This window comes from Homo sapiens, chromosome 9 (assembly GCF_000001405.40).
Source record: "Homo sapiens chromosome 9, GRCh38.p14 Primary Assembly".
NCBI lineage: Eukaryota > Metazoa > Chordata > Mammalia > Primates > Hominidae > Homo > Homo sapiens.
In genome coordinates, this window is record NC_000009.12 from 65,546,568 (window position 1) to 65,572,265 (window position 25,698).

The 25,698-nt window shown below is 47.9% G+C and overlaps 1 long non-coding RNA gene across 1 annotated transcript; it reads left to right on the forward strand.

Moving 5' to 3' along the window:
• The first annotated feature begins 370 nt into the window (after positions 1–370).
• On the forward strand, positions 371–5,064 carry LOC105379447 (uncharacterized). Its single transcript, XR_950680.3, has 2 exons — positions 371–583; positions 4,886–5,064. It is a non-coding gene; the product is annotated as an uncharacterized LOC105379447 (long non-coding RNA).
• Positions 5,065–25,698: the final 20,634 nt, after the last annotated feature.

Consider the following 25,698-nt stretch of genomic DNA (forward strand, 5'->3'; position numbering starts at 1 on the left):
AGCGACGACCTGCCTGCCTCACCAGATGTGCTGAGCCCATCCTTTCTAACCCGGAGGGGTCCAAACTAGGATCTGAAGAGGAGTCCTGAGAACCCAGCAGGCACCCTGAAGATCCCCCTCCATCGGTGGAAGTCGGCTCAAGGAGGTCTTGAAGATTGGACTCCTGGGGGTTTGGCCCTGGGACAGGATACTCAAGGACTCCTCTCCCACCCCGCCCCAAACTGGACCTCAGCCCCCACGCCACAGCCCCCACTTTCTCCCCAGAGCTGAGGGACAGACAGAGAATTGCGACTAGAAATTCGATCGATTGGTACGAGGGACCACGTGGCCAGGGGCTGGCCAATGACCAGGCCGCCTGGGATGAGCTAATAATGGAAGCAATTTGTAACTTTCAGTAGCTCTCTAGGCCTGGGTACCGGAGGGAGGGAGGCGGGCAGAGGAGGGGAGATGGGCACCCCCAGTCTTTCCATCCTCCTCATTCGTCTAGGGGCACCCGAATCCCCTATTCCTTATTTCCCCTATCACTCAGGCACTGGCAGGGTCCTTTGCCCACTCCTGTTGGCCGCTGCGGCTCCAAAGCGAGGTAAGCTGGTCCTCTACCCCTCAAACTCTTCACAACCCTCATCCCGTTTACTAGCACCTGCAAACCACAGCCTCCCTTCCTGTCCCATTAGTGAATTTAAATCAGATTTTGTTTTTCCTCTTAGTTGAAAGAAAAATAATCTTTTTGTATTCTTTTGTGTAACCTATCTCGGATTTGGAGAAAATTTTAATTCAAATTAATACACTTATATTGGGGGGGTGAGTGGTACTTTCCTCCTTTTCAATAAATTTCTATACTTGCTACTTTATGGAGAGTTTACTTTTCTTTGGGGATGAGTTACACCTTATGTTTTCACATGTGTTACTTCTTTAATGATAAGTTCAACTCCTTTATCCATTCCATCCTCCAATTTTGCTATTTATAAATATCACCTAATGGATTTAGAGTTTATTCATTTTTCTCCTCCCTCACTAGTTTTTCAGCTGTTACAGAATCACCACAATTTATTTTTCTCTGTATGTGGATGAGGTTTTGTGTTGATTCCTATTTTGTTTTGTAAATGAATTTATTGTTTGGGAAATTCTTGGGGGATGTGTGTGTAAAAAAGGTCTCTTGATTAATTCCAACCTCTCCTCTTCTGAAGAACAATTTGCTTGAAATGTTTTGAGTATTTTCCTCATTTTTATTATGTCTAAATTTGAGGTATTTTACCTTCTTTAAAACCTGGCCTCTTTTTAAAATTTAACCTTTTGCATGTTAAACCATTTTTAAGGTTTTTGTTTTATAAACTGCAATGGTTAGTAGATTTACTTGCCTTTCCCTGACCTCCTTCACACGCCTGCCTCCTCCATCTCAAAACTCCCATCCCCAGCTTCCACAATTCTCAGCTTCCAATGGACTCATCCTCCCCTCTCCTCCCAGCCAAGGAGGGATGCCTGGGAAGTAGACAGTGTCCTTCTTGGGTCAGAACCTATGCTCTGGTTCTAGTTCAGGACACCTCCAGTCTGACCTCCAAGCCGGCAAAACGAGTGAGAGAAGAATTTCTGCTCAACTTTTTCATTTGGGACTAAGTTCTTTCCACTTGGCTGTATTCCGGAGAACTCTGATACATGAAATTGAATTTTAAATTCTCCTTTTTTCCCTAAATTCTAAGAAAAGTGCAGGCAGATTGTTTTTCTTCCTTAAATGTAAGCTGTTAGCTTAGGGGTCAGCCCTTTGGGTCTTTTATCTCCTGAGGGAGACTTCTCAGAGAGACACACAGTGTTGATTCTTCCTTTTAGTTTTGGGTAAGGTAGAAGGGGCAGGGATTGGGGAAGCCCATATTGATCTCTGGCTCTAGCTCTGAACAAAGAAGGGTAGAGAGCTGGCCTGGGGACTTGTCCCTTTGGTCAGTAAGGTTTGGCTTAGGAGAGAGTTTGAAGTAAATCCCAGCTCTGAGGAAATTCTTCTTTTTAGCATTACTGTGAAAATAAACTCTTAAAATGGTGTGACATGGCTTCAAACTATTCAGATTCCTTGAAGTAACAAAAATAAACTTACAAGAGTAATTTATGTTTCCCAAAGATCCGCCTCCAGTGACTGTCCATTTCTCTCAGGGAAACAGAACCCAACTGGGCAGAAGTAAAACTGCCACCCCTCCCCTTTCAGTTCCCCAGTCACATTGACATTCTGGGCACATTTGGCCCAGCCCTCGTCCCTGCTTCTCCCAAGTATGAATCTAAATTACTATTAATAAGGGGCCGCTCCAAGTTAATTGGCATTAAAAGAATTCATTTCAATTTGTTAATATTAAATGAATGCTCTGCACTTTAGCTCCCTTCTTTGCCCTGGATTCCCAGATGAGTGATAGGAAGAAGGGGCAGGGAATTAGAATGAGGATTTTATTTCTGGCTCTCCAGCTTAGCCACTGTGGTGCCTCCCCTGGGGGTGTGCAATCAGGCACAGTGGGGGCCTGCTTGGGGAAGGTCTGATGGTCTTTTTTGGTGAAATTCATCTGTTTTAGCAGGAGTTGTGGGGGAGGATGGGTGGGGAGCAGAGGGAGAGGGACAGAATGGTTTGGGGGACTTTGTGGGGAGCAGAGGGTCTAGGGAGAAAGTGGGAAGGGAAAGGGACGGAGGTCAACAGGAGTTTTGGAGAACAAGGGTTGTAGGCTGTGGGGGGTAAAGCCAATTTGTGAAGAACTGGTGATAGGAACTAAACAACCCACCTAGAAGAGGAGGGGCTTTGAGCAGGGGTGGGGAGGTGGGATTTGAGGCAAAACAGCTAGGAGTTCTGAAACTATTAATATCTAGCTGTGTGACTCAGGGCAAGTTGCTTAACTTTTCTCTCTGCCTTAGTTTCTTGACCTGTAAAACAGGGATACTAATAATAGAACTTATCTCAGGGGGTTATTTGGAATTAGAGGAAATACATGCCATGTGTTTTCCACAGTGCTTGACACATAGAACCTGCCAGTAAATGTTAGCTCTTTTTATGGCAGAGTGGTTAACAGGATGGATTCTGGAGCTAGACGGCCTGATTTTGAATCTCAGTCATGCCTTATGTGAGTTGTATGACCTAGGCAAGTTACTTAACCCCTTGTGCTTTAGTTTCCTTGTCTGTAAAATGGGGTTAATAGAACCTAGCTCAAAGGCTGCTGTCAGGATTAAATGAGTTATATGTACGAAGAGCCTAGAACAATGCCCACCCCACAGGAAACACTATGTAAGCATTAGTTGTCACTGATATTGTTGCTCTTCTGATCTAGGAAGGTTGAAAATAGAGGCACAGGTGAGCTACTACTTACAGGCTAAGACTGGAATCAGATCAACTCTTTCACTCCTATCCCTGAAGCTAGTCCTGCAACTGGGGCTGCATATGAGGGCTTGGAGAGAGATACTATAACCCTGGAATCTGGGATATCCAAGTCCTTCCTCTGCTCTAGCTCTTGGGTTGGTGGTCCCTCCAAGACCCATAGACTCGAAGTCACTTCTTTTTCCCTCGGCAGGGTTGGGGTGGGGCTGGTAATGGGAGAATTACTTTCTTGGTCTAATAACTCCCTTTAGTAGAGAGTTAGTCCTGGGAGTGTGAGTTGGGGGAGGTTGGGTAGAGCAGAGGAGATTAAATATCCTTTATGTACCAGCCCACACACACTTGACCTCACCAGAGGGTTGGGAAGACAGAGATTCAAAGAGGGGAAGTGATCTGACAAAGTCCTAAAGCTAGAACTTGGCAGAGTTGGCATCTGAACTCCGATCTGCTTGATGGCAAACTTAAAGCCCTTCCATTGCTGCATGCTTTTTGAAGGGAGAAATGGGACACGTGTAAACTTGGGCCAGGACCATGGGGTAGATGGAAGATGGGCGAAGATAGAGTATTGGAGTGGGAAGTGGCCAAGCAGGAATGTTTCAATCATGGAAGATTTCCTGAGAAAAGAGATTCCACATCAGGGTTCAGATGGTAGGGGAATGAGGATAGGAAGTAAAGAAGAGGGAGGGAGCCATGCATTGACAAGGAAGGAGAAGAAAAAAGAATTTATGCAAAGGCTGGGTCAGAGTAATGGACATGAATTCAATTTGCCTTGGGTTTGCCTTACCATTTATTGAAGGCATACTATGTACTAGGTACATACATGATCACATTTGATGTTCACAACAGCCCTGACAAGTGGGTTTCTTATCCCTATTTCCAAGAGTTCATTGAAGTTCTGAGAGCTTAATCCCCGCTTTAGGTTACACAGTAGTAGCTAGATTTCCTGGCATCAGAACCCTCACCTACGCTGCTTCTGAGCATGGCTTCTGTGCCCCAGTCTCGATTTCCATGACTGTTTCAAGTCCTCCTGTTCCCCCGCATTTGTAGTCATTCTTGGTGACTGGGAACGAAGGGCTAGAGCGTGAGCTGAAACTGAGACAGGGAGTGGCAGGCAGGCAGTGGGGACAGAAACTTTTCTCAAATCCACCCATGTGAAGAAGATGGACAGAAGGGTGGTCTTTCTGGAGAGAGGCTTCCAAGCCACTTTCCCAAGAAAGACAGCTGATCTTGGGATGAATGGCAGGGACCTGATTGGGTAGGGGATGGGTGGTCACATTGTTTTCTGGGCTGTAGACTTTATTTCCCTTCCTTTGGGAAGAGAAGAGGAAGAGGACAGCTCAGGTGTGGGTTTGAGCCCTGGATTAAGACTGCCCATTGTCCACTAAAATCTCTTCTTTCCTTGCTGCACGAGGGTGGAGGGACACCCAGCTGGACACTCCATTTCCCAGCTGCTCTTACTGCCAGGTGTAGACACAGGGGAATGTGAGGTGAGCATGTCCTCAAAGCCTGACGGATTGGGTAAATTCTCCTTTGTGTTCTCTCTTTCATGAGCTGGGCAGATGTGCCTGAGACAGGTTTGACCAGGCAACTGAAAAGACATCCCTAAGAGAAGACAAAGCAAAGGTATGAAAGGAACACACGTCCCTGACTGACTAGGAGGAACAGAGCTGCCTGCTATCCGGAACAACTTCCTCCCAGACTAAGTGAGAAATAAACTTCTGTTTTCTATATGCTACTGTGTTTGGGGGCCTTTGTGTTATAGAAGTTTTGCTGTCATCCTTTCCAATTCACCTTCTCACACCAGATATTTCAAATTAAAAAGATTATATCAGGCCAGGTGCGATGGCTCATGCCTGTAATCCCAGCACTGTGTGGGGCTGAGGCAGGTGGATCACTTGAGGCCAGGAGTTCGAGACCAGTCTGGCCAACATGGTAAAACCCCATCTCTACTAAAAAATACAAAAATTAGCTGGACACAGTGGCACACTCCTGTAATCCCAGCTACTTGGGAGGCTGAGACAGAAGAATTGCTTGAACCCAGGAGGTGGAGGTTGCAGTGACCCGAGATCATGCCACTGTGCACCAGTCTGGGCTACAAAATGAGATTCTGTCTCAAAATAAAAAACTGATTACATCAGATCACGGAATAACTATAATAATATTTATTGGGCCAGATAGTATGCAAAGGACTCTATGCACATTATTTAGTGTAATCTATGTGACAATCCTCTGAGATATGTGTTACTATTATTCCAATTTAAACACGAGGAAACAGGTTCAAGGAAGGTAAGTTATGTGCTGAGGGACACACAAGAGGGGGTGGAGCTGGATTTCAAGCCCACTGGGTGTGCAGAACTGAGCCTCTTCACCATGGGGGCAAATCCCTCCTGAGGACAGGGCTGGAAAGGCCATGGAGATCATCTTGTGCTTGGACAAGCCTCTCACCAGTCACCACAGGGCCCTGACTCCCATTCCTACCTTCAAGAAGCTCAGCAGGCTACTACTCGTGTTCATGTTGGGTCACTACATACGGTTTTATTTGAAGGAAGGACCCCAGAGTTAAACTCATTTGAAAACCCCTGATAAATTCAGTCCCCTCCCTCTTTTTACAGGTGAGGCCCGGAGAGAAGATATGACTTGCTTAAGGTCACACACTTAGTTTCTCTGTCAATCTTTCTAAATCTAGGACGAGTTCTCTTCCCACTGTATCAGGCTGCCTCAACAAACAGGGAAGTACAAAAATAGCCAAATCCAGGAAGGAGGGCAGTGGTCTGTGTCTCCTCCAATTATTTCATGAGACAGCCAAGCCTATTTTCTTGATTTCCCTTGTGCCCCTCCTGTCGGATATCTGCTTTGGGACCCATCTCTTTTGGGCTTGCAGAGAGAACGGGCTGCACCAGCTCTCTACCCTCTGCATCACCCAGATGGTCAAACATGCAAAGGGAAAGGAGAGCTGGGGCCAGAGTCAAGGCAGGCAAAGAGACTCCTCGACCCCCTCCAGTCTTTCCACATTTATATTTTTGGAATTTCAGGCTCCCTCCTCCCCCGGGACCTTTCCTAGTAGCCCACCAGGGAGAAGAAGAGGGAAAACTGTCATAAATTTCTCCTATTTATACAAGATGACAGAGTTTCTTGTGCCAGAAAAAACACAGAAAGGGAGCTGTCAGGGGAGAAGGGACCCAGCCCTATACCTTCTGGGGTCAATTTATCTTTCCGAATCATGGCTTGGGGGCTACCCTAACATTGCTTGTATGAAATGCAGGCTTTGACTTGGGGCAGCCAGGCCAGACAGCCCCTGAGCTTTGTTTCTGATCACAGTTTTCCTGCTTCATCTCAACTTCCCCCTACCCCTTACGCTGTCTTTTTAAAAAACAACCTTCTTGAGGTATAATGCATGTGTCATACAATTCACCCTTTGAAATGTACAATTCAATGGTTTTAGTATATTCACAGGTATGCCAAACCATCACCATAGTTAATTTTAGAACATTTTCATCACCTCAAAAAGAAATCTTGTAACCTTTAGCTATCACCTCCCTATCCCCCCATATTCCTTCTTGCCCTTAACAATACTAATGTACTTTCAGTCTCTGTAGATTTTCCTATTCCGGACTTTCATATGAATGGCATCATATAATAAGAGACCTACTGTGACTAGCTTCTTTCATTGAGCATAGTGTTTTCAAGGTTCATCCATGTTGTGGCATTTATCAGTACTTCATTCCTTTTCAAGGCTGACTAATATTCCATTGTATGGATATATCACACTTTGTTTATCCGTTCATCTATTGGTGAACATTTGGGTTTTTTCCACCTTTTGGATATTATGATTCTCTCTTTCCTCTTATTCTCTAGACATCTTGGATAGTATCCAGTGAGGGCTGTGGGCAAGAATGGGTGTTTCTTATATTTGGGAACACCTAATATCCATGAAAGCAGGGTCTTGGCACATGTCTGCTTTCATATTAAGTACATGTACTAGCTGGAATTTTCCTCCCTCTGTTGTTACTGAGTTGGGGCTGCTCCCTCCTTTATCAATTCTCCCTTTTTATCATGATTGCTATGTTGGAAACTTGCTGACTCTTCAGACTAGGGGATTCAGATCCTTCTCTTGGGGCTTCAGAGACATGGAGTGGATGAATGAATGTCTTCCCATGAGGGAGGAGTTCCCTGAGTCTGGTCTCAAGTGATTATCCAGTGCCTCACAGTGGAAGGAAGGTCTGTGAAGACTCCAGGGTCGAGGGAAAGTTATGTTCTTGGAGGTATGACTGAGCCCAGAATCCAGGCCTCCAGTTTCCATCTCCTTGCCTGGCCCATTTCAGTCTTCAGACATGCTTTGAGGTCAATCCAGTCACTCACCCAGCAACAGACACTGCCTCTGCCCTCATGGACCTTGCAGTTCTAGTGGTGAGAGTAAGATGAATACAAGTGAGCAAAATGATGGCAAGTTGTTCAAGCTTGTTCAAACTTCTAAACACTGTTCAATGAATGAATGAACTAACAAGAACTTACTATGTGCTCTGGAAAGAAAATGTGAAAAATGTCGAGTTGTAAATCACTTTCTGCTACCACTACCTTTCCTAGTCTGGAAGTCAGCATTACTTCTCCATCCCTTGGAGGAGATAGTGGGCAGATATTACAAAATGTTAGCTAAAAAGAGCCACCATTTATTGGACCAGACATACACCAAGGGGTTTCTATAGTTCATTAATTTTCACCCTTTGAATTAGGCATCAATATTTCCATTTTGAAGATGAGAAAAACCGAAACTCAGGGTTTAAGTAGCTATCTGAAATCACACCCATAGCAGTAAGTGGCAGAACATTTGCTCTGGACACTGGGATAAGTATGTGTGTATGGGTTTCTTTGTTGTTTTTTGTTTCTGTTTTTGTTGTTGTTGTTGTTTATTTGTTTTTGGGATGGAGTTTTGCTCTTGTTGCCAAGGCTGGAGTGCAATGGCATGATTTCAGCTCAATGCAACCTCCACCTCCTGGGTTGAAGTGATTCTCCTGCCTCAGCCTCCTGAGTAGCTGGGATTACAGGTGCCCACCACCACTCCTGCTAATTTTTGTATTTTTAGCAGAGACGGGGTTTCGCCATGTTGGCCAGGCTGGTCCCAAACTCTTGACCTTGTGATCCGCCCGCCCCGACCTCCCAAAGTGCTGGGATTACAGGCGTGAGCCACTGCACCCGGCCATGTATGTGTTTTTATGCCTAGCACTTCATAACAAATGCCAACATCTCTTCCTGCGGCCCTACCACAGAGGGAGCTGATCAGTTTCCCCTCCTGCCCAAAGGCAAAGCAGCCACAGTGGAAGTGCCTGAGTCCTCCCTCACAGCCTTCTGTCTAGTGGTTATTCCTGCTTCAAGGCTAAGGAAGGGAAGGACCGGTTTTGCCTTCAAAGGCTTTTTCCTTCTAGCCCTTGCTGTGCAGCCCGTTGTGTGTGGGAGGAACCATGAGAGGCCTGGATATTGTCAACAAAAGACTTGAACAAGCCAAAGAGCTGATTATGTTGTCAAGAAGGGGACCTTTCTTACATGATCTTGATGACAAATAATAAAAATTATAAACACATTACAGTTTTCACATGCATTTGTTCACTTCTCACAGCAAATATGAGAGGTATCTAAGGCTGAGCAGCTTATTACAGAAAAAAGCTTATGGGACTAGAACCTTAATTTTATGTAACAAAATTTATATAGAGCTTACCATGGATCATGTACTCTCCTAAATAGTTCAAAACTTTCATTTTTAGAGAGATGGGTGTCTTGCAGCCAGGCGCAGTGGCTCACACCTGTAATCCCAGCACTTTGGGACGCCGAGGTGGACAGATCACCTGAGGTCAGGAGTTCGAGACCAGCCTGACCAACATGGTGAAACCCCATCTCTACTAAAAATGCAAAACACAAAAATTAGCTGGGTGTGGTGGTTCATCCCTGGAATCTGGAGACTGAGGCAACAGAATCACTTGAATCCAGGAGGTGGAGGTTGCAGTGAGCTGAGATCATGCCATTGCACTCCAGCCTGGGCAACAAGAGTGAAACTCCATCTCAAAATAAAAAGGGGGGGAGCAGTCTTGCTATGTTACCCAGGCTGGTCTTGAACTCCTGGGTTCAAGCAATCCTTCCACCTCAGCCTTCTGAATAGCAGGACTATAGGCCCATGCCACCAGGCCTGGCTGTATCTCATAACTATTAACTCATCTACTTTTTCACCACCATGTGAAGTAGGCATTACTGTTATTCACATTTTTTAAGATGCAGAAACTGAGGCATGGTAATCAAGTATCTTACCCAAGGTTGTACAGCCAGCAGGTGGTAGAACAGGGATCTTGAGCCCAGCCCCAGCATCTGTAACCACTTCGCAAGGTGGGCATCGCATGGGGACTACACTTGAAACTCTAGTTTGTTAGTCTGGTGCCCCTGCTTCCGCCTGCCTCCCTCAGTCTTTATGGCCCATTGGAAAAAGTAAGCCAGAGCTGTGGCTCCCAGGGTGATGATCCTTCAGCTGCATCCTTGGCACTGTCATTCCCTCCTCCCATCTCCCACCAAGGGAGAATACCACAGACGGTTTGCCATGGATCAAGATTTCTCTCAAGAAAGAGCTCACAGAAAGGCTGCTGTGAGAAAGGAAGTCACTTGCTACTCCCCTTATTCCTCCATCAGGAGGAGCTAGATGAGGTCACTGCACATTTGAGTGGGTGCTATCAAAGCACAGCCTCTGGCCAGTGTGGAGACAAACGTGGGCTGTGTGGCCCGTGACTGAGTGGCTGAAAGGAAACCTGAGGTGGTAGGTGATGGAACTGATTGAAATAAAACTTCTGTAGGAATGCTGCATGCCATTCATTCAACAGTGCTCCCTGACCAGGTCCCAGGGCTGTGCATATGAGCTGCAAATGGGTTTGTTCATTCATTTACATATCTGTTTGCTTATTTATTCAATAAATTCTGATTATGCCCCTAAGAGGCACTGTGCTAGATATCAAGGAAGAACAAGACAAAATACCTTCCCCACAAGGGCTCCCGGTCTAGAGAGGGGAGGAGGAAGGGAGATCCACAGTGATTTGTATCATATGTTGAGGAAAGAGAGTCATTTACTATCACCGTTTGGCATCCTCACCCCCAGTGCGGTCCTTCTCTTTGTCTCTCCATGCTGGGAGTGGGCAGTCCCTGCTATGCTGCCCTTCAGACACAGCCCTCTTCCCTCAAGCTGCCCTCTGCCTGGATCCCACCTTCCTTGTGAGCTGGAGTATTTGCTTGAGGGAGTCTTGACTCTCCTTCCCTGTCAGTCACTGTTTGGCTGCAGGCAGTGACAGTGGTGGCAATAAAGCAGCAGAGAGGAGGCTTTGGTATCCGAGCAGGGACTCACGGGTGGGATGGGATGGGGATGGTTTTATGTTTGCCCCACTGTGTTCTCTGTGCTGCTCTGCCCAGGGAGGCTGACCTCTTCAGACTGTGTCACATGGGCCCCCTGATCTCTCGGCCAATAGAGTTCCCGGCTGAGAAGGGGGAGAGAGGAGTCAGGGTATTTGTTTCCTCCATTCCCTGTCAGCCCCCTTTTTTGCCTGCTTGCAGCTCTGATGGTGGTTGTGTTTCCTCCTTGGTCACAGCTTTGCTGAGTGGCCTCTCTCCTGTGTCCCGTGAGCCCAGTTGGCATTGGGCTTTGGTAGAGATATTTCTATCCTGGTGCCACACTAGCACCAGGATTAGTTTTCTTCATCTGGTCTATGCCTTTAGAAACTGCCACATCACTAAACCCTTCAGTGAAACCCTCTCGAATGTGTCATTTATTTTCTGTTGCCACCCTGACTGGCTCACCTGGGTGCAGAGGAGGTGGGGACAGAGCAGGTTGGGGCTCCAGTTCAGCTTTGTTATCCCTCTTTTTCAGGGTTTCCCAGAGGAAGAGAGAGAATTTGGACAAATGAATGAGGAACAATGCTCTCCTGAGAGTTTCTTTAAGGGGCGAGAGTCACTGCCACTAGCTCCTTTGAAAGCAGAATTAAGAGGCAGTGCAGGAAGGCACAGCAGGAAGGCTCATGGTTAGACTACAGAGAAGGAAACAGCCACTGCTGGGGACCTACCCTGTGCTGGTCACTGACAAGCTGCCTCATTAAACCTTCCCAGACCCTCAACCCCTCCTAGTATCTTATCCTCATTTTACAGATGAGAAGACTGTGGCCCAGAGAGGTAAAGATCTGGGGAGCAGGATGGGAGCTTCACTTTTTCTCAGTTGCTCTGGCAAAGAGAAGCCTCACCTTGTGATCAAGGGATTGGGAGGGTGACAGATAAATTTTGGCTTAAGTGTCAGCATAGCACTGGGAATCTGGAGATAGATGGCACTGGATTGACTCCTTGGATCTGCCTCTTACTGGCTGTGTGATACTGGGCATGCCTCTGTTTCCCCATCTATAAAAATGGGGCTAATGATAATAACACCTGCCTTACAGGTTGTGTAGAAGGTTGAATTTGTAGTTGTGAGGTGCCCAGGAACAGTGCTGGCACACAGTGAGCGCCATACACAAGTGTTAAAGAATGGAGCCTCCTGCTCTCTCCTTATTTTCCACCTCCTGCCCTCTTCTCATTGCCCACCTCCCCTGCCTTCTCCTTACCATCCTGAAAAAGGGTGAACAGCCACCCAGGAGCACCTGAATGGGCATGTTTGTCCCAGGCCCTTTGTGAGCATGCTTTTCCCTGCCCTGCCCCCTGTCATCACCATTCTGGATGGAGCAGCAAGGACGGAGACACTTAGTTGGGCTGTCCACTCCAGGTCCAATGCCAGTGGGATCAGCTTTGATGGGATGCACACAGACTGACCTCTTCTCCCCAGCCCCTTCAACTTCCCAGAGCTGCAGGGGGCCTGGGAGTTCTTGGTAACAGCACATTAAACCTCTGTTTGTGGGAACTTTAATTTAAACACAAATTAGAGATGGCAAATGACTCTGGCAGCCAGATAAGCCATCCCGGGAGAGCAAGGAGAAAGCCAAGAGAATCAGCCCAGATAAGGCCTGACTTTAAACTACTGGTGATACCCAGAAGCCTGGGACAGATGAAATCTAGGGGTCCTGAATGAAGAACCCCAGAAGCTCCACACCCCAGTTGTCCTTGCTCTGGGCTCTATGCCAGCTCCCTCTCCTGTGTTCTCTATATTTCTATCTTTTTGCAAAATTCTAACCTGATTCTTTGGCTCCATCCCTCCCACCCCCACCCCACTGTTTTAGAGAATGCACTTTCTTTACTTTGCTTCTCATCTTCTTCTGTGACCTACTATTCTGAGAAAGTTCTACTTGTTACCTAACCTCCATCTATGCTACTACCTTTAGAGTCTAATACATCCTGCTTAGTGGTAGTTCTGGGAGTTTCTGTTCATGTGGCAAATGTGGTGTAGTAAAAACAACCTGAAAAAGACCTGGGTGAACTTCTCTGCATCTCAGTTTCCTCATCTGTATGATGAGTGTGTGAGAAAGAATCTCTAAGGACTTGTAAACTCTGACTTCTCACAGAGAATCTGAGGACAAGGACATCCCAGGAAATCTCTATTGTTCTGGAACCCATGAATTTTCCACTGTTCTACTGTTTGGGAGTGAGCGTGGGGAGAGCAGTCAAGCCTGTTGATTCCTTTCTGGGAAGGGTCTACAGGCTTTGCTTCCATCCCTCCGCCCACAACCCAGGCTTAGGCCAGGCCCAGGCCCAGGAGAGAGGATGCCTTTCCAGTTCTGTCAAGGCCTGCTGAGCCCAGCTCTGTGGGGCTGTGGCTGCTAAGATGTTGTCTCCATCCTCTGGGGTAGGAGCAACATATGTTCCCTCTGTCACAGCACCTGTGAGGGTGGCAGAGGGATGGCAACCCCCAAGAGGGCAGAGTTCCATCTCTCCAACTGACTTTGAAGCATCTTTTTATCCTGCTTTTCTGGGAGGCTTAAAGTGAAGGCGGAGGGAGATATCACACAGTCCCAAAGCCCCCACTAAATGGGGAGCTACTGTCTTTCATCTTTCATGCAGGGTAAAAGAAGACACCTTGGCTACAGCAAGAGGAAAGAAGGTCAAACCACAGGCAGAACTTTCAGGTTGAATGTTAGAGCAGACTGTGATCCCAAGAGATCATCCAAGACCCTTGGTCTCAGAGGATGCCTATGAGGCCCTGGTCCCTGGCTGGGGTGGGAACAATAATCTCAACAGCCCCATGCTAGACTGACTTGGGAGTCAGAAGGTCCCTGGGACTAGAATAGAAGGACTTTGGCATTTTCCCTGGCCTAGGGCCCTTAGACAGAAGTGGGCAGCTGCCATCAGGAGCCTGGGGCCCAGCTGTGTCCACCCCTTGCCCGCCTCCCCCCTCCTGAGTGCCTGGCTGCCCCTGGAGCCCCAGGCTTGCCTGCCATCTGGGCAGCTCAGAGGAGAGCCCACTGCCAAGGGAGTGCCAGCGTTGATTTATGGTCCACAACCTTGGCAGGCTCAGGCTGTGTGCCCGAACTGCCTTTGCTCAGGGAAGAGATGCTCCTCTTAAAGGGACAGTGCAGAGGAATGCAGGAAAGTCCAGGACGAAAGCTTGGCAGGGGGCTGGCAAAAAAGACCTCCACCCATCAGCACTCTGGGTGACTGTCACTCCCTAGGGAAACTTCTCCCTAGGGAACCACCCATCATACCTGTTATCATACCCTATCCTTTGTAGACTTGGCCCAACTGTAACATATTAATATGTTTACTGTCAGTCTCTCCCACTGGACTGTAATCTCTAGGAGGGTAGGAACCAGACCCATTGTGCTCATTCCTGAATATTCAGCACCAAACACAGTGCCTGGTGCCTAATAAGATCTCAGTAAGAATTTGTCAAGTGTAGGAAAGAATGAATAAATGAAGGTCCTTGTCCATGAGGTGGAGGGAAGCCCACGTGTCTTCTTAGTGCCTGCCATGGTTTCCGAGACCCTGCGGCATCTGCTGCTACCCCCAGGATCTCTCCCTCCAGGACCCTTCCTCACCCCTGTCATATCAACCCAGGACCAATGGGGCCAATCTTATCTGGATACCCTTGCTTTCCCACTTTTCTTGAGTCACCTTTCTTAAGTCCTTCACACAATGTTCTTTTCCTCCCATTTTCCTTCCTCCAAGATACTTTCTCAGATTACCTACAGCCTCAGTCCTGGATTCAGATACTCTTTCAGATAATCTTTTATTTTTTTATTTTTATTTTTATTTTTTATTTTTCTTGAGACAGAGGCTCCCTCTGTCACCCAGGTGGAAGTGCAGTGGCAGTCTTGGATCACTGCCACCTGTGTCTCCCAGGTTCAAGTGATTCTCCTGCCTCAGCCTCCAGAGTAGCTGGGATTACAGGCTTGTGCCACCATGCCCAGCTAATTTTTGTATTTTTAGTAGAGACGAGGTTTCATCACATTGGCCAGGTTGGTCTCGAACTCCTGACCTCAAATGATCTGCCCCCCTCAGCCTCCCAAAGTGGTGGGATTACAGGCATGAGCCACTGTGACTGGCCTATCCAGCAATATTTACTGAGTATCTACTATGCACTGGGCACAGGTTGCCAAGAATTCATGAATAAATGGAAAAGGCATAATCCCTGAACTCAAGGACCATACATTTCAGAGAGTGAAACAGACAAAAAAATAAGTAAGCAAGTTAGCAAATAGATACATGCAATTTTGAGACCTTTTGTGAAGTGGGTAATCACAGACAGGGTGGAGCAGGGACCCTTTAAATTGGGTGGTCAGCTAGGCATGGTGGCTCACGCCTGTAATCCCAGCACTTTGGAAGGCTGGGGCGGGCGGATCACCTGAAGTCAGGAGTTTGAGACCAGCCTCACCAACATGGAGAAACCCTGTCTCTACTAAAAATACAAAAATTAGCCAGACGTGGTGGCGCATGCCTATAATCCCAGCTACTTGGGAGGCTGAGGCAGGAGAATCGCTTGAACCCGGGAGGCGGAGATTGCCATGAGCTGAGATCGTGCCATTGCACTCCAGCCTGGGCAATAAGAGCAAAACTCCGTCTCAAAAAAACAAAATAAATAAAATAAAATAAAATAAAATAAAATAAAATAAATTGGGTGGTCAGAGAAAGTTTCTCTGAGGAAGTGACACTTGGGCTGAGGTTTGAAGAATGAGAGGGAGCCATGTAAAGAGTGAGGTAAAAGCATTCTAGAAACAGTTCAGTCACCTGGGTGTGCACAGCAGCATTTGGGGGATGGGAGTGGGAGAGGAGATTTCCCAAACTGCACTCTCCTATCTCTTTTACATTTTGAAAGCACCTGCCCTTCTAATGTGGGAGGACCACTGCTTAAAATCTTTGGAGAAGCAGCCCTGGCCTTACCTGGAAGCTGGTTAGAAAACAGAGCTCAGGTGCCACACCAGATCTACTGAGTCAGAATCTGCATTTTAACCAGGTCCCAGGTCATTTGTATGCACAGTGGTGTTTGAGAAGCAGTGTTTCAGGAAATACCTCACAGGAGGGATGGAGTGTGAAGACATCAGATGATGTGAGGTGGGTGGGGTTGGGGGGTTGGTTGCTGAAGAGTGGATTTGAATCAGAGATGGGGGTCTGAGTGTGTATATGTGCCTCTGTGTGTGTGTTCCTCCAGCCCTAATGACTGTGGGCTATATGAGGATGTGCATCTCCAAGCGCTTTTCCTTCCATGGGTGTGGAGTACCAGGGGATACTGTACATCTTTATCCCACTGTGACAATGCCCCCACTTCCACCTACAGCTGTGAGTCAAACAGAATCTGCCAACCTCTGGGCGGTGGGAGCATCTCGGAAGCAAGGCAAGGCAAGGAGATCCCTTGTTCCTGACCTCCGGCAATCCATTTATTTGACCCGAGTCTCATAAAGGCGTCCTGATGAGCCCAATCGCTTGCTAATGGTTATGAGCCAAGACCTGGGGATTTATGTCTGAGGCCTTCGTGGCCACGAACAGGAGTAGGGCTGCGCAAAGGAGGCCAGGCTGTGCATGGCTTCAGTTCATGGAGACCTGTACCCAGAACCACCACGGAGACTACCACACCCCCACCTCCAAATCTGGGGCAAAGAACATTGCCCTGGGTGGGGGAAGCTGGGCTAAGGAGAAAAAAGACCTCTGGCTGGAGATGTCCAGTGATGAAGGGTGAGTGTCTGGGAAACTGGCCTGACTTGGCTGGGTGGGGTGTAGGGGGAGATACTGGAGAAGTGAGTGGAAAGGGCACTGGAATTGGAGCCAGTCAAACTGGGGTTCAAATCCTGGATCTGTTTTCCACCCGTGTATGACACTGGACAAATCATGGCTCTCCCTGAGCCTCATTTTTCTCATCTGTAGATGGGAATTGTGACGCTATCTCATAGGTTTGTGAGAATTAAGTGAGGCCAGGTACGGTGGCTCATGCCTGTAATCTCAGCACTCTGGGAGGCCAAGGTAGGAGGATTTCTTGAGCCCAGGAGTTCAAGACCAGCCTGGGCAACATGCTGAAACCCTGTCTCTACAAAAATACAAAAATTAGCCAGGTGTGGTGGCATGTGCCTGAGGCTGATGTGAGAGCATTGCTTGAGCCCAGGAGCTTGAGACTGCAGTGGGCCATGATCATGTCACTGCACTCCAGCCTGGGTGACACAGTGAGATCCTATCGAGAGAGAGAGAATTAAATGAGATAATGTTTGTGAAAAGCACTTCGAATACCAATTGTATATATTTAAGTGGGTCAAGAGATTGGGATTCTAATTCCAACTCCACCACTAACTTTCTGGGATTCTAGCACTGGTTTTGTTACAAATGGCTTTTTTTTTTTTTCCGGAGACAGGGTCGCACTCTGTCGCCCAGACTGGAGTGCAGTGGTATGACCTCAGCTTGCTGCAACCTCTGCCTCCCAGGCTCAAGCAATTCCCCTGCCTCAGCCTCCTCAGTAACTGGGATTACAGGCATGCTCCACTACTGCCCGCTAATTTTTGTATTTTTAGTAGAGACAGGGTTTCGCCACTTTGGCCAGGCTGGTCTTGAACTCCTGACCTCAAATGATCCACCCGCCTTGGCCTCCCAAAGTGCTAGGATTTCAAGCGTGAGCCACCCCGCCCGCCCAGTTACCAATGGCTTTGTGACCTGGGGCACATCACAGACCCTTTCTAAGTCTTAGTTGCTCCACAGATACTAAGAGGGGACACAGTGCTCTTTTGGTTGCCTCCAGCTCTGATGTTTTGTGGTTCTAATGAGGAGTCCTTATTTGGAAATGGAACTTTGGAATGGTTTGGATCTCATTCTGGCCATAGAGAGGGCATCATTGCAACTGTGGCTTCAGGGCCAATGTGCGGTTAGGGGGGCTGAGTCAGAACAGCCCCCTCTTCCTCGATAGTGCCATCCTGTGAGTATAATCCCTGTGTGGGTGTTGGACACAGTGTTGGGGAAGACTGTGCAACAGGGGTAAGTAGGAAAGGCCCTGTGGTAGGGGGTTAGCTGGGTATCCATGGAAATGCCTGAACTACTCATGCCTTTTGCACAAGTAGGTCTTCAAATAATCTCTTCTGCTTCCCTCTTTCCCACTCTTTCCCTGTCTAAGGTGTGTGGTGGTGGTGGTGGTGGTGTGTGTGTGTGTGTGTGTCTAACCTGATTGGGAGAGTAAGCCAAATGGAGTGAAGTGGAGAAACATCCCCAAAAGTCCCAGGTAGAGACCTAAGGATTCCTAAATCACAGTGCAGAACAGGGTCCTCTACCCTTTTCCCATTCTGGGAACATCCTGAAGCCAGTCATTGTGGGAGAGAGACATGACCCCCAACCCAGCCTCACAGACCCCACCCCTCTTCCACGCTTTGCCCTACCCTCTTTCTTGTGCTTGTATCCTAACCTTAAGCCCTAGAGACTTCTAGGTACCCAGAGAGCAGCCTATTCAGTGATGTTTACTGAGCACATGTTATGTGCCTTGCACTGGGCCTGGAGCAAGGGCTAAGGAGTGAAATTAGACCTGATCCCTGTCCTGAAGATGTCACAGCTGAGTAGGCAGAAAGACTTTAAACAGATAATGGCAACACGATGTGCTAAGGAACATCAATGTACAAGATAACAGGTAGTCTGTATTTATGGGAGAGGGAGGCATAAAAGAAGATGCTTCAGCTGCTTTCTAAACATGTTTGTCGTGGAACATTGAAAACATACGAAAACAGAGCAGTATAGTGTCCTCATCATGCAACTGCAACAATGGTCACACCAGGATCTTGGTGTGTCTATACTCCCACCCACGTTCCATACCCCACTGCACCATTACTTGGGGTGGAACTGGGTTGGTTTTGAAAGAGGAACAGCAATTCCCCAAGTAGAAAGTGCTGGAGGGAAAAGTTTGCAGGCAGAGGGGATGCTGTGCTCAGAAGCTTGAGCAGTGCCTGATGCTAGTACATCAAACCGAAGCTGAAGGAGTGGGACAAGATGCTTTGGCCCCCGTGCATTCTGGCCCTAATGCATCTGTCACACAGCATGCCCTGTGGCTCCTTTTGGAACTCGGGTCTCCAGGCAAGTCTTCGGAAGAGCCAGGTTAGCGCAGAGCCAGCCCTTTGAGTGCAGGGAGTGAGGAGGCACCGCTAAGACGGCGGGCCTTGGCTGGGCGTCCGCGGGGCTTTGGTGGGCCTAGAGTGCTAGGGACTGGCACGCACCAGCACTGAGGGGCAAAGCGGGCGCAGTCAGGCCCTCCACCCCGCGTCGGCACGCGGTCTTAAATATCACCCCGGAGTTTTCAATTATCTCTCCTTAATGGATTTGCAGGGGCTCTTTCATCAAGCGCGGGGTGGCTGGGTGTGGGGGTGCGGGGAGCGCGCGGCGAGGGCTGGAGCTGGGAAAATGGCCCATATTTCAATATTAAAGCCCTTTACGATCGTCAGCAGCATGAAAGATGCTGCAAATTAAACGGAGCCGTCCGCGCCAGCCTTTCCATCTCGCAAGTTTTAATTAACCCTGAGGGGGAGGCGGCTGACGGGCGGGTCGGAGCCGGGCCAGCGGCGGATCTGGGAGCCTGCGGATCCCAGATTCCGAACTGGAGCGTCAGGGATCTCGCGGGCCAGGCCAGGCGGAGGCGGAGGGTGGTGGGCTCCGAGTCCCAGGCGAGGGCGCAGAAGATGCCCGTGGAGATGGGCAAGGCTGAGGGGTGGGGGACAGGTTGGAAGGTCTCTGAGCATCTGACCGGGAAACAAAACTCTGCAACTGAATGCAGGACGCTTTGTTCTTAAAGGTGAGGGGGCTTGTGGCCAAATCATCTAGCTCTTCATCCCCAGGCTCCTTCAGCGCGCGTCCTTCTGCCTCTCTTCTTTGGACCAGCACTTCCCCCAAACGCTCCCCCGCGTTGATTCCCGGTCCCCTCCCACCTCATCCTGTGGCTCCTTGTTTCGGGAGGCAGTTGTGCTTCTGTGACCCCGCGGCTCCTGTTCTGGGACGTCTGCTTTCTCCATCACTCCCTGGCTTCCCAGGCGGGCCCCATCCTCCTGAGCAGAGCGGAGCAGCGCGCACAGAAGCGCCACTGTTCTGCCTTGGCAGGGCCTGGCCCGACAGCTTGTGCCTGCGCAGCAGACCCATCCGTCAGGCGGGAAGGATGGAGCGACGTCCGGCTGCCCGCTCTGAGGACTCCCCAGGGAGACACATCTGGCCTTGGCCCAGACTCCTCTCTTCCCTTCTCCCCACCCGCCAACCCTTCCCCCAACTACCAGCTCAGTATATACTTCTGTCTCTCCTGCTTTCCTTGCTTCTCCTCCTCCCTCCCATACGCATGCAGCCTGGGGCCTGGGGCCCAGGAGAGGCACTCCTCTCATGGGTCACACTGAGAAGTCCTTCGTCCACCTGCATCCACATGGCAGGGCATAACTCTAAAGCTTAAAAAGATCCAGCGATCTCAGTGGACCACAATCCACAGCTAAGTCAGCCAATCAACACTCAAGGGCTTAAATCAAGGACTTTGGGCAAACCCTATAGAGTGGAGGAATTAGAAAAATAATACAAATAAAAGACATGGTCATTATTCCTGGGTATTTACAGATACTTCTTTGTGCTTCCTGAAATGTTTTGCAGAAATCACATTCTCCTCTCATTGTGCTACACAGCTTGTAAGCACAAAGACAAGAAATTCTATGATAAAGCAAAAAGAAAAGAAAAGAAAAAACTCCTCTTCTACTTTCTTCTTGGTGTGTATTTTTTCTTGTCAATTTCTGATAATCTATCAAGCCTTCTTAAAATAGTGCCTGCTTATGCAGTATGGTTAGGATGATGAACACACTTAAACAGGATAGGGAATAAGTACAAACTACAAGTGCTGTGGGGATGCAGAGTAATAGGACAAGTGGTGAAAATTAAAACATTTTTGGCTTAATCAAGGAGTACTTCCTGGAAGAGGGGAGACCTGATTTGGAAGGAGAGGTGATATAAACTTGAAAAGAAAGTTCCAGATGTGGAAACACTGGTTTTATTCTTTATTTTTATTTTGAGACAGGATCGTACTCTGTCATCCAAGTTGGAGTGCAGTGGCACGATCTTGGCTCACTGCACCCTCCACTTCCCGGGATCAAATGATCCTCTGCCTCAGCCTCCTGAGTAGCTGGGACTACAGGTGTGTGCCACCACACCCAGCTAATTTTTTTGCTTTTTTTGTAGAGATGGGGTTTTGCCATATTGCTCCAGCTGGTCTTGAACTCCTGGACTCAGGCGATTCCCCTGCTGCCTTGGCCTTCTAAAATGCTGGGATTATAGGCATGAGCCACCACACCTGGCTAACACCGGTTCTAAAATTAGGCAGAATCTATATTTTACTTCAGGTTGAGAGCAGATAATCTTGGCTATATTTTCCCTGACAATACAGTAAGATGAAAGAAGCCTTGTGCAATAGCAGGAAGAATTCAGGGTAGACAGTGGGATCTTGGCTAATGCTGGAGACTAAAGTGAATGGAGAGAGACCCTGAAGCACCCTTCTCCCATACTTGGCTATGGGCTATGGGAGGGATGCCTGGACTCTGAGACTTGGCCACCATGTTGTGTTTTGCCATTAGAAGATTTGGACATGAAGTTGAATAAGGCAGGAACGACCTCACAGCATCAACCACAACCCCCAATGTGGCTGGAGAAGGAGGGAGAGAGGGCAAAGAATATCTTCCTCTTACTCAGATTGTAAGTGGAGAAACTGAAGTCCATTCACTCAAATCCATAAGTGTCTACTGAGCACCTCCTATGTGGCAAGCACTATATAGGCCCTAAGGATCCAGAGATGATCAGGGCATGGTCCCTGTCAACATGGTGCTCACAGTCTAGTGGGAAATAGAGTTCACTCATCATTCTACCATTTAATCAAGAACAAAAAGTATTGAGCACTTACTCTGAGCCAGGCAGAGTTGCAGGTGCTGGAGATGCAACTGTGAACAAGGCAGACCCAATCCCTGCCCCATCAGAGAGTACTACCTGGTGCAGAAGACACATACATAAACAGGCAGCTATAATTCAGGGTGATGTATGCTATGAAGGGGAAAGGACAGTTGCCATGGGATGGCATATCCATAGATATGCCATAGATCCATAGGTTCCCATGAGGAGATCTATCCGAGTCTGTGAAAGGGGATGTGAGGATGATGTGGAAGAAGCAACACCAAATCTGATCTGCTCACAAGGTGCGCAGAAGTCAAGTGTGGGATGGCATAGGGAGGGTGTCCTGGGCCTAGAGTTTGTGTTTCCAATACCAGCAGGGGAAAACAGATGATAATCCTAACAGAGCCAGACCAAGGAATGAGGTTATCAGTTTTCCTTTTTCTGCTGGGAAGTTTCTGCCTTGGGGCTAGGCTATGTAGGGGGAGGCTGGGAGGTGGGAGGGCACTGTGGAGGATCTTACTCTTTCCACCCTCCTCTCACTGATCCTAGTTTTGAACAAGAAACAGGTGATCTGTTTCTCTAGTTGCAGCTGAATAGAAACCAGGACAAGAAAGTGTTGTCCTCCCCAGACACGTTTCTGTCTCCTGGATCCTAAACAGCTGCCTACTTGAGCCATATGACTTCAATCCACAGGGCCTCCCAGGAGCTGAATCCAGAAGGGCAAGAACAAAGTAGCAAAGCAGGAAAGGGCATTCAGAAGAGAACAGCATGGGCAAAGGTCCCAAGGCCAGAGGACTTGGAAACTGCAAGTCCCTCAGTGTAGAGATGAGTCTGTAGAGGAGGTTGACACAAGCTTGTGAAAGACCCAGTATGCCAGGCTAAGGGGGTGGGAACAGTGAGGGACACTGAGGGTTTTATGGCTTAAATTTTGACAAGTGTATCTACATATAGACAACTAATGTAACACTCCTTTTTTTTTTTTTTTTTTTTTTAGAGAGAGATGGAGTCTCACTCTGTCGCCCAGGCTAGAGTGCAGTGGTGAGATCTTGGCTCACTGCAACCTGCGCTTCCTGGGTTCAAGTGATTCTCCTGCCTTAGCCTCCTGAGTAGCTGGGACTACAGACTGATCCCACCACATCTGGCTATTTTTTTGTATTTTTGGTGGAGACAGGGTTTCACCATGTTGGCCAGGCCGGTTTCGAACTCCTGAGCTCAAGTGATCCACCTGCCTCAGCCTCCCAAAGTGCTGGGATTACAAAGAACACTTTCTTTTTTTAACTTTTTTTTTTTTGAGACAGAGTCTTGCTTTATCATCCAGGTTGGAGTGAAGTGGCTCAGTCATAGCTCACTGCAGCCTTGACCTCCCGTACTCAAGCAATCCTTCTTCCTCAGCCTCCTGAGTTGCTGTCAATTTTTTTTTTTAAGAGACAGGGTCTCACTATGCAGGCTAGGCTAGTCTCAAACTTCAAGAGACCAAGGTGGGAGGATGGCTGGGCTCAAGAGATCCTCCTGCCTTGGCTTCTCAAAGTGCTGGGATTGTAGGCGTGAGTCACTGCCTGTCCATATAAAGTAACACTCTTGAACCCACTATCCAGACTTGAGGTTTTGTTAAGTTACTGTTAAAATTTTGTCAATTTTGCTCTTGAGTTTTCAAAATAAAGAGGTCATTACAGATAAAGTTGAAGTTCCCTTTGTCCCTTCCCCAGTACCATTCCCCTCCCTTTCAGAAGCACCACCATCATATATTTTTTCTATTTTTATCTTAGATATATATCCATGGATAACATTATAAGGCTTCAGTGCATTTTAAAAAGAGGTCCAATGGTTATGATATAATTTATAACTTTAGTTTTCCATCGCACATTTTTAAAAAAGTCTTTATTTGAGGTTTTCGGCAAAGTGCTGACAAGGGTAAAACTAGCGTAAGAAGATCATGCTGGTTACCAAGTGGAGTATTCCAGGTGACAGAGGAGGACCAAGGATGGTGACAGTGGGAAGGAGGAGACAGAGGTAAAAGGAGACTCCACATCACAGGTCACTGGTGATCGCCCTGTGAGGGCAGGGTTGTTTTATACATGCTGTTCTTCAGCACCATGAACAGGGCCTGGCTGTTGGAGATGCCCAGTAAATATCTGTTGACAGAGAAAGGTTGACAGGGGCAGATGGATCCAGGATGACTCCCAAATTCCTAACCCAGTGGAAAAGCCTGGATGATGATCCCAGTCTCCATTATGAGGGCCCCAGGAAGAGAAGCTGGATTGCAGGGAAAGATGAATCCAGAAGCCATCTCTCTGATCTAGAGGAAACGAGGCTGTGCTGTGTGGAAGGGATTAATGTTAGGAAGCAGACCAGACTTCCGTTCTTAGGACAGAAAAAAATCTTGTAGCGGGTAGTTCAAGGCTATAAAAGATCTGAAGGGACCCAGAGATGGTAAGAGTGGAAAGGTTCAGTCCTGCTGGGGGCAAAGGGATAGTTGAAAAACAAGCCAAAAACAATAATCACTTTCCTCAGAAGGCCAGGAGGGCAGGGCCCAGCTTCTCCATCAGCCACAATGAGTGTCTTATAGCCCTCTGTGCGGTGGGTACCCACAGCCCATTAGCCAAGGCAGAGGAGGAGGAGGAAGTTATAGTAAGTGCATCTAGGATCATAAAGACCTTGTCAGATGCCCACACTCAACTTTGCTCCCACTCCATATCCATCAACAAGATGGAAAAATGGGGTGCTCACAACTGCTTCTTAGGACTTATTCTTGACCAAATTCAATTTCTCTGTTCAGGGAAGGATGTGAAATATAACCTGCTTTCCAACTCTTAAAACCCAGAGCTCTGGCTCTTCACCTCAAAAAGCTACCTTCTGCAAGAGCTCCCTCAAAGTCACTGCCACCCCCACTTCCTCACCCCACCACCCCTGCCCCAGGCACAGCCACCACCCACCCTCTGCTGCTAATTCACCTATAAATGGTCTCCTGCCTTGCGTCTCCACTCAGTTTTGTTCTTTCTCTAACAGGTTCCACTCCCCTGAAAGCCCACCCGATCCTTCCTGTTACCCTAGCACTGACTTCCTAAATGAAGTGCAGTGGCTCACAGTTCTGTCCTTCTCTGTTTTTGTCACTTTTTCCACTCACAATTCTTTGGGTCCTGGCTATGGTTAAGTGGCATTTCTCTACTTCATCCCTGGGTGCAGGGACAGAAATGCTTTTACCATCCCCAGTGCCCTTCTCTGGGGGTAGCAGAGAAGTCACTTTAGTTTTGTTTGGTCTGGTGGAGTAAGGCATGCCCTTCTTTCAGAGAGGGAGCTGTCATGGATCTAAGCCAGTCCCTGTCCTAGGAGTACTTGCAATTTAGACTTGCTCTTTAGTCAAGGAATGTTAAATATTGTAAAGCAATGCCGTAGCTGGAGGGGGAGAATCTTGGAATCCCCTTTCCATGAGCCTGCTATTTGAAGGTGTGGTGGGATCCCTTGGAAGTGTGGGCCCCTTGTACTCTGGATCTAATCCCTAAGTCACCAAAGGGCCAACATAATGATTCTCAAACCAATCTGTGATTGGTCCCCTCATACCTTGAACTTGGGCAGGCTGCTAATTTTTATCAGAGCAATACACCCTGTAGATACCACCTCCCTGAACTCTAAACTGAGCAGAGCTCTAAACCATCAAAGAATCAGGCTATATAGACTTCCACCTTAAATGGGTGTAGATTCAACATGATTCCGAAAGTCACGTGACTTGCCTCACTAACCAGGGTTCTTCTTCAGTGGGGAAACTACTTGGGCCTTTTTCCTTCTCCTTTTCACCTACCTGAATTATTACATTTATTTATAATTAACATATATTGCATGTAATATTAAAAAAAATAAAACTTAGAAAGACTTGGTGGTAGGTGCTGCTGAATTAGGTATCAGAGCCCCAGTTAGGTGGGTGTCCTGTGGAGTTTCTGATGAATCAAAAGCCATTGTTGGGCACTTTAAAAGCATGGACGCCTTGAGCCCTGGGCAGCCCCAAGGCTGTGACTACCGAGGGCACCCACAGAGGATTAGAACTGGGGCACTGGAATGAGAGGACCATCAGAAGCAAGGCCTGG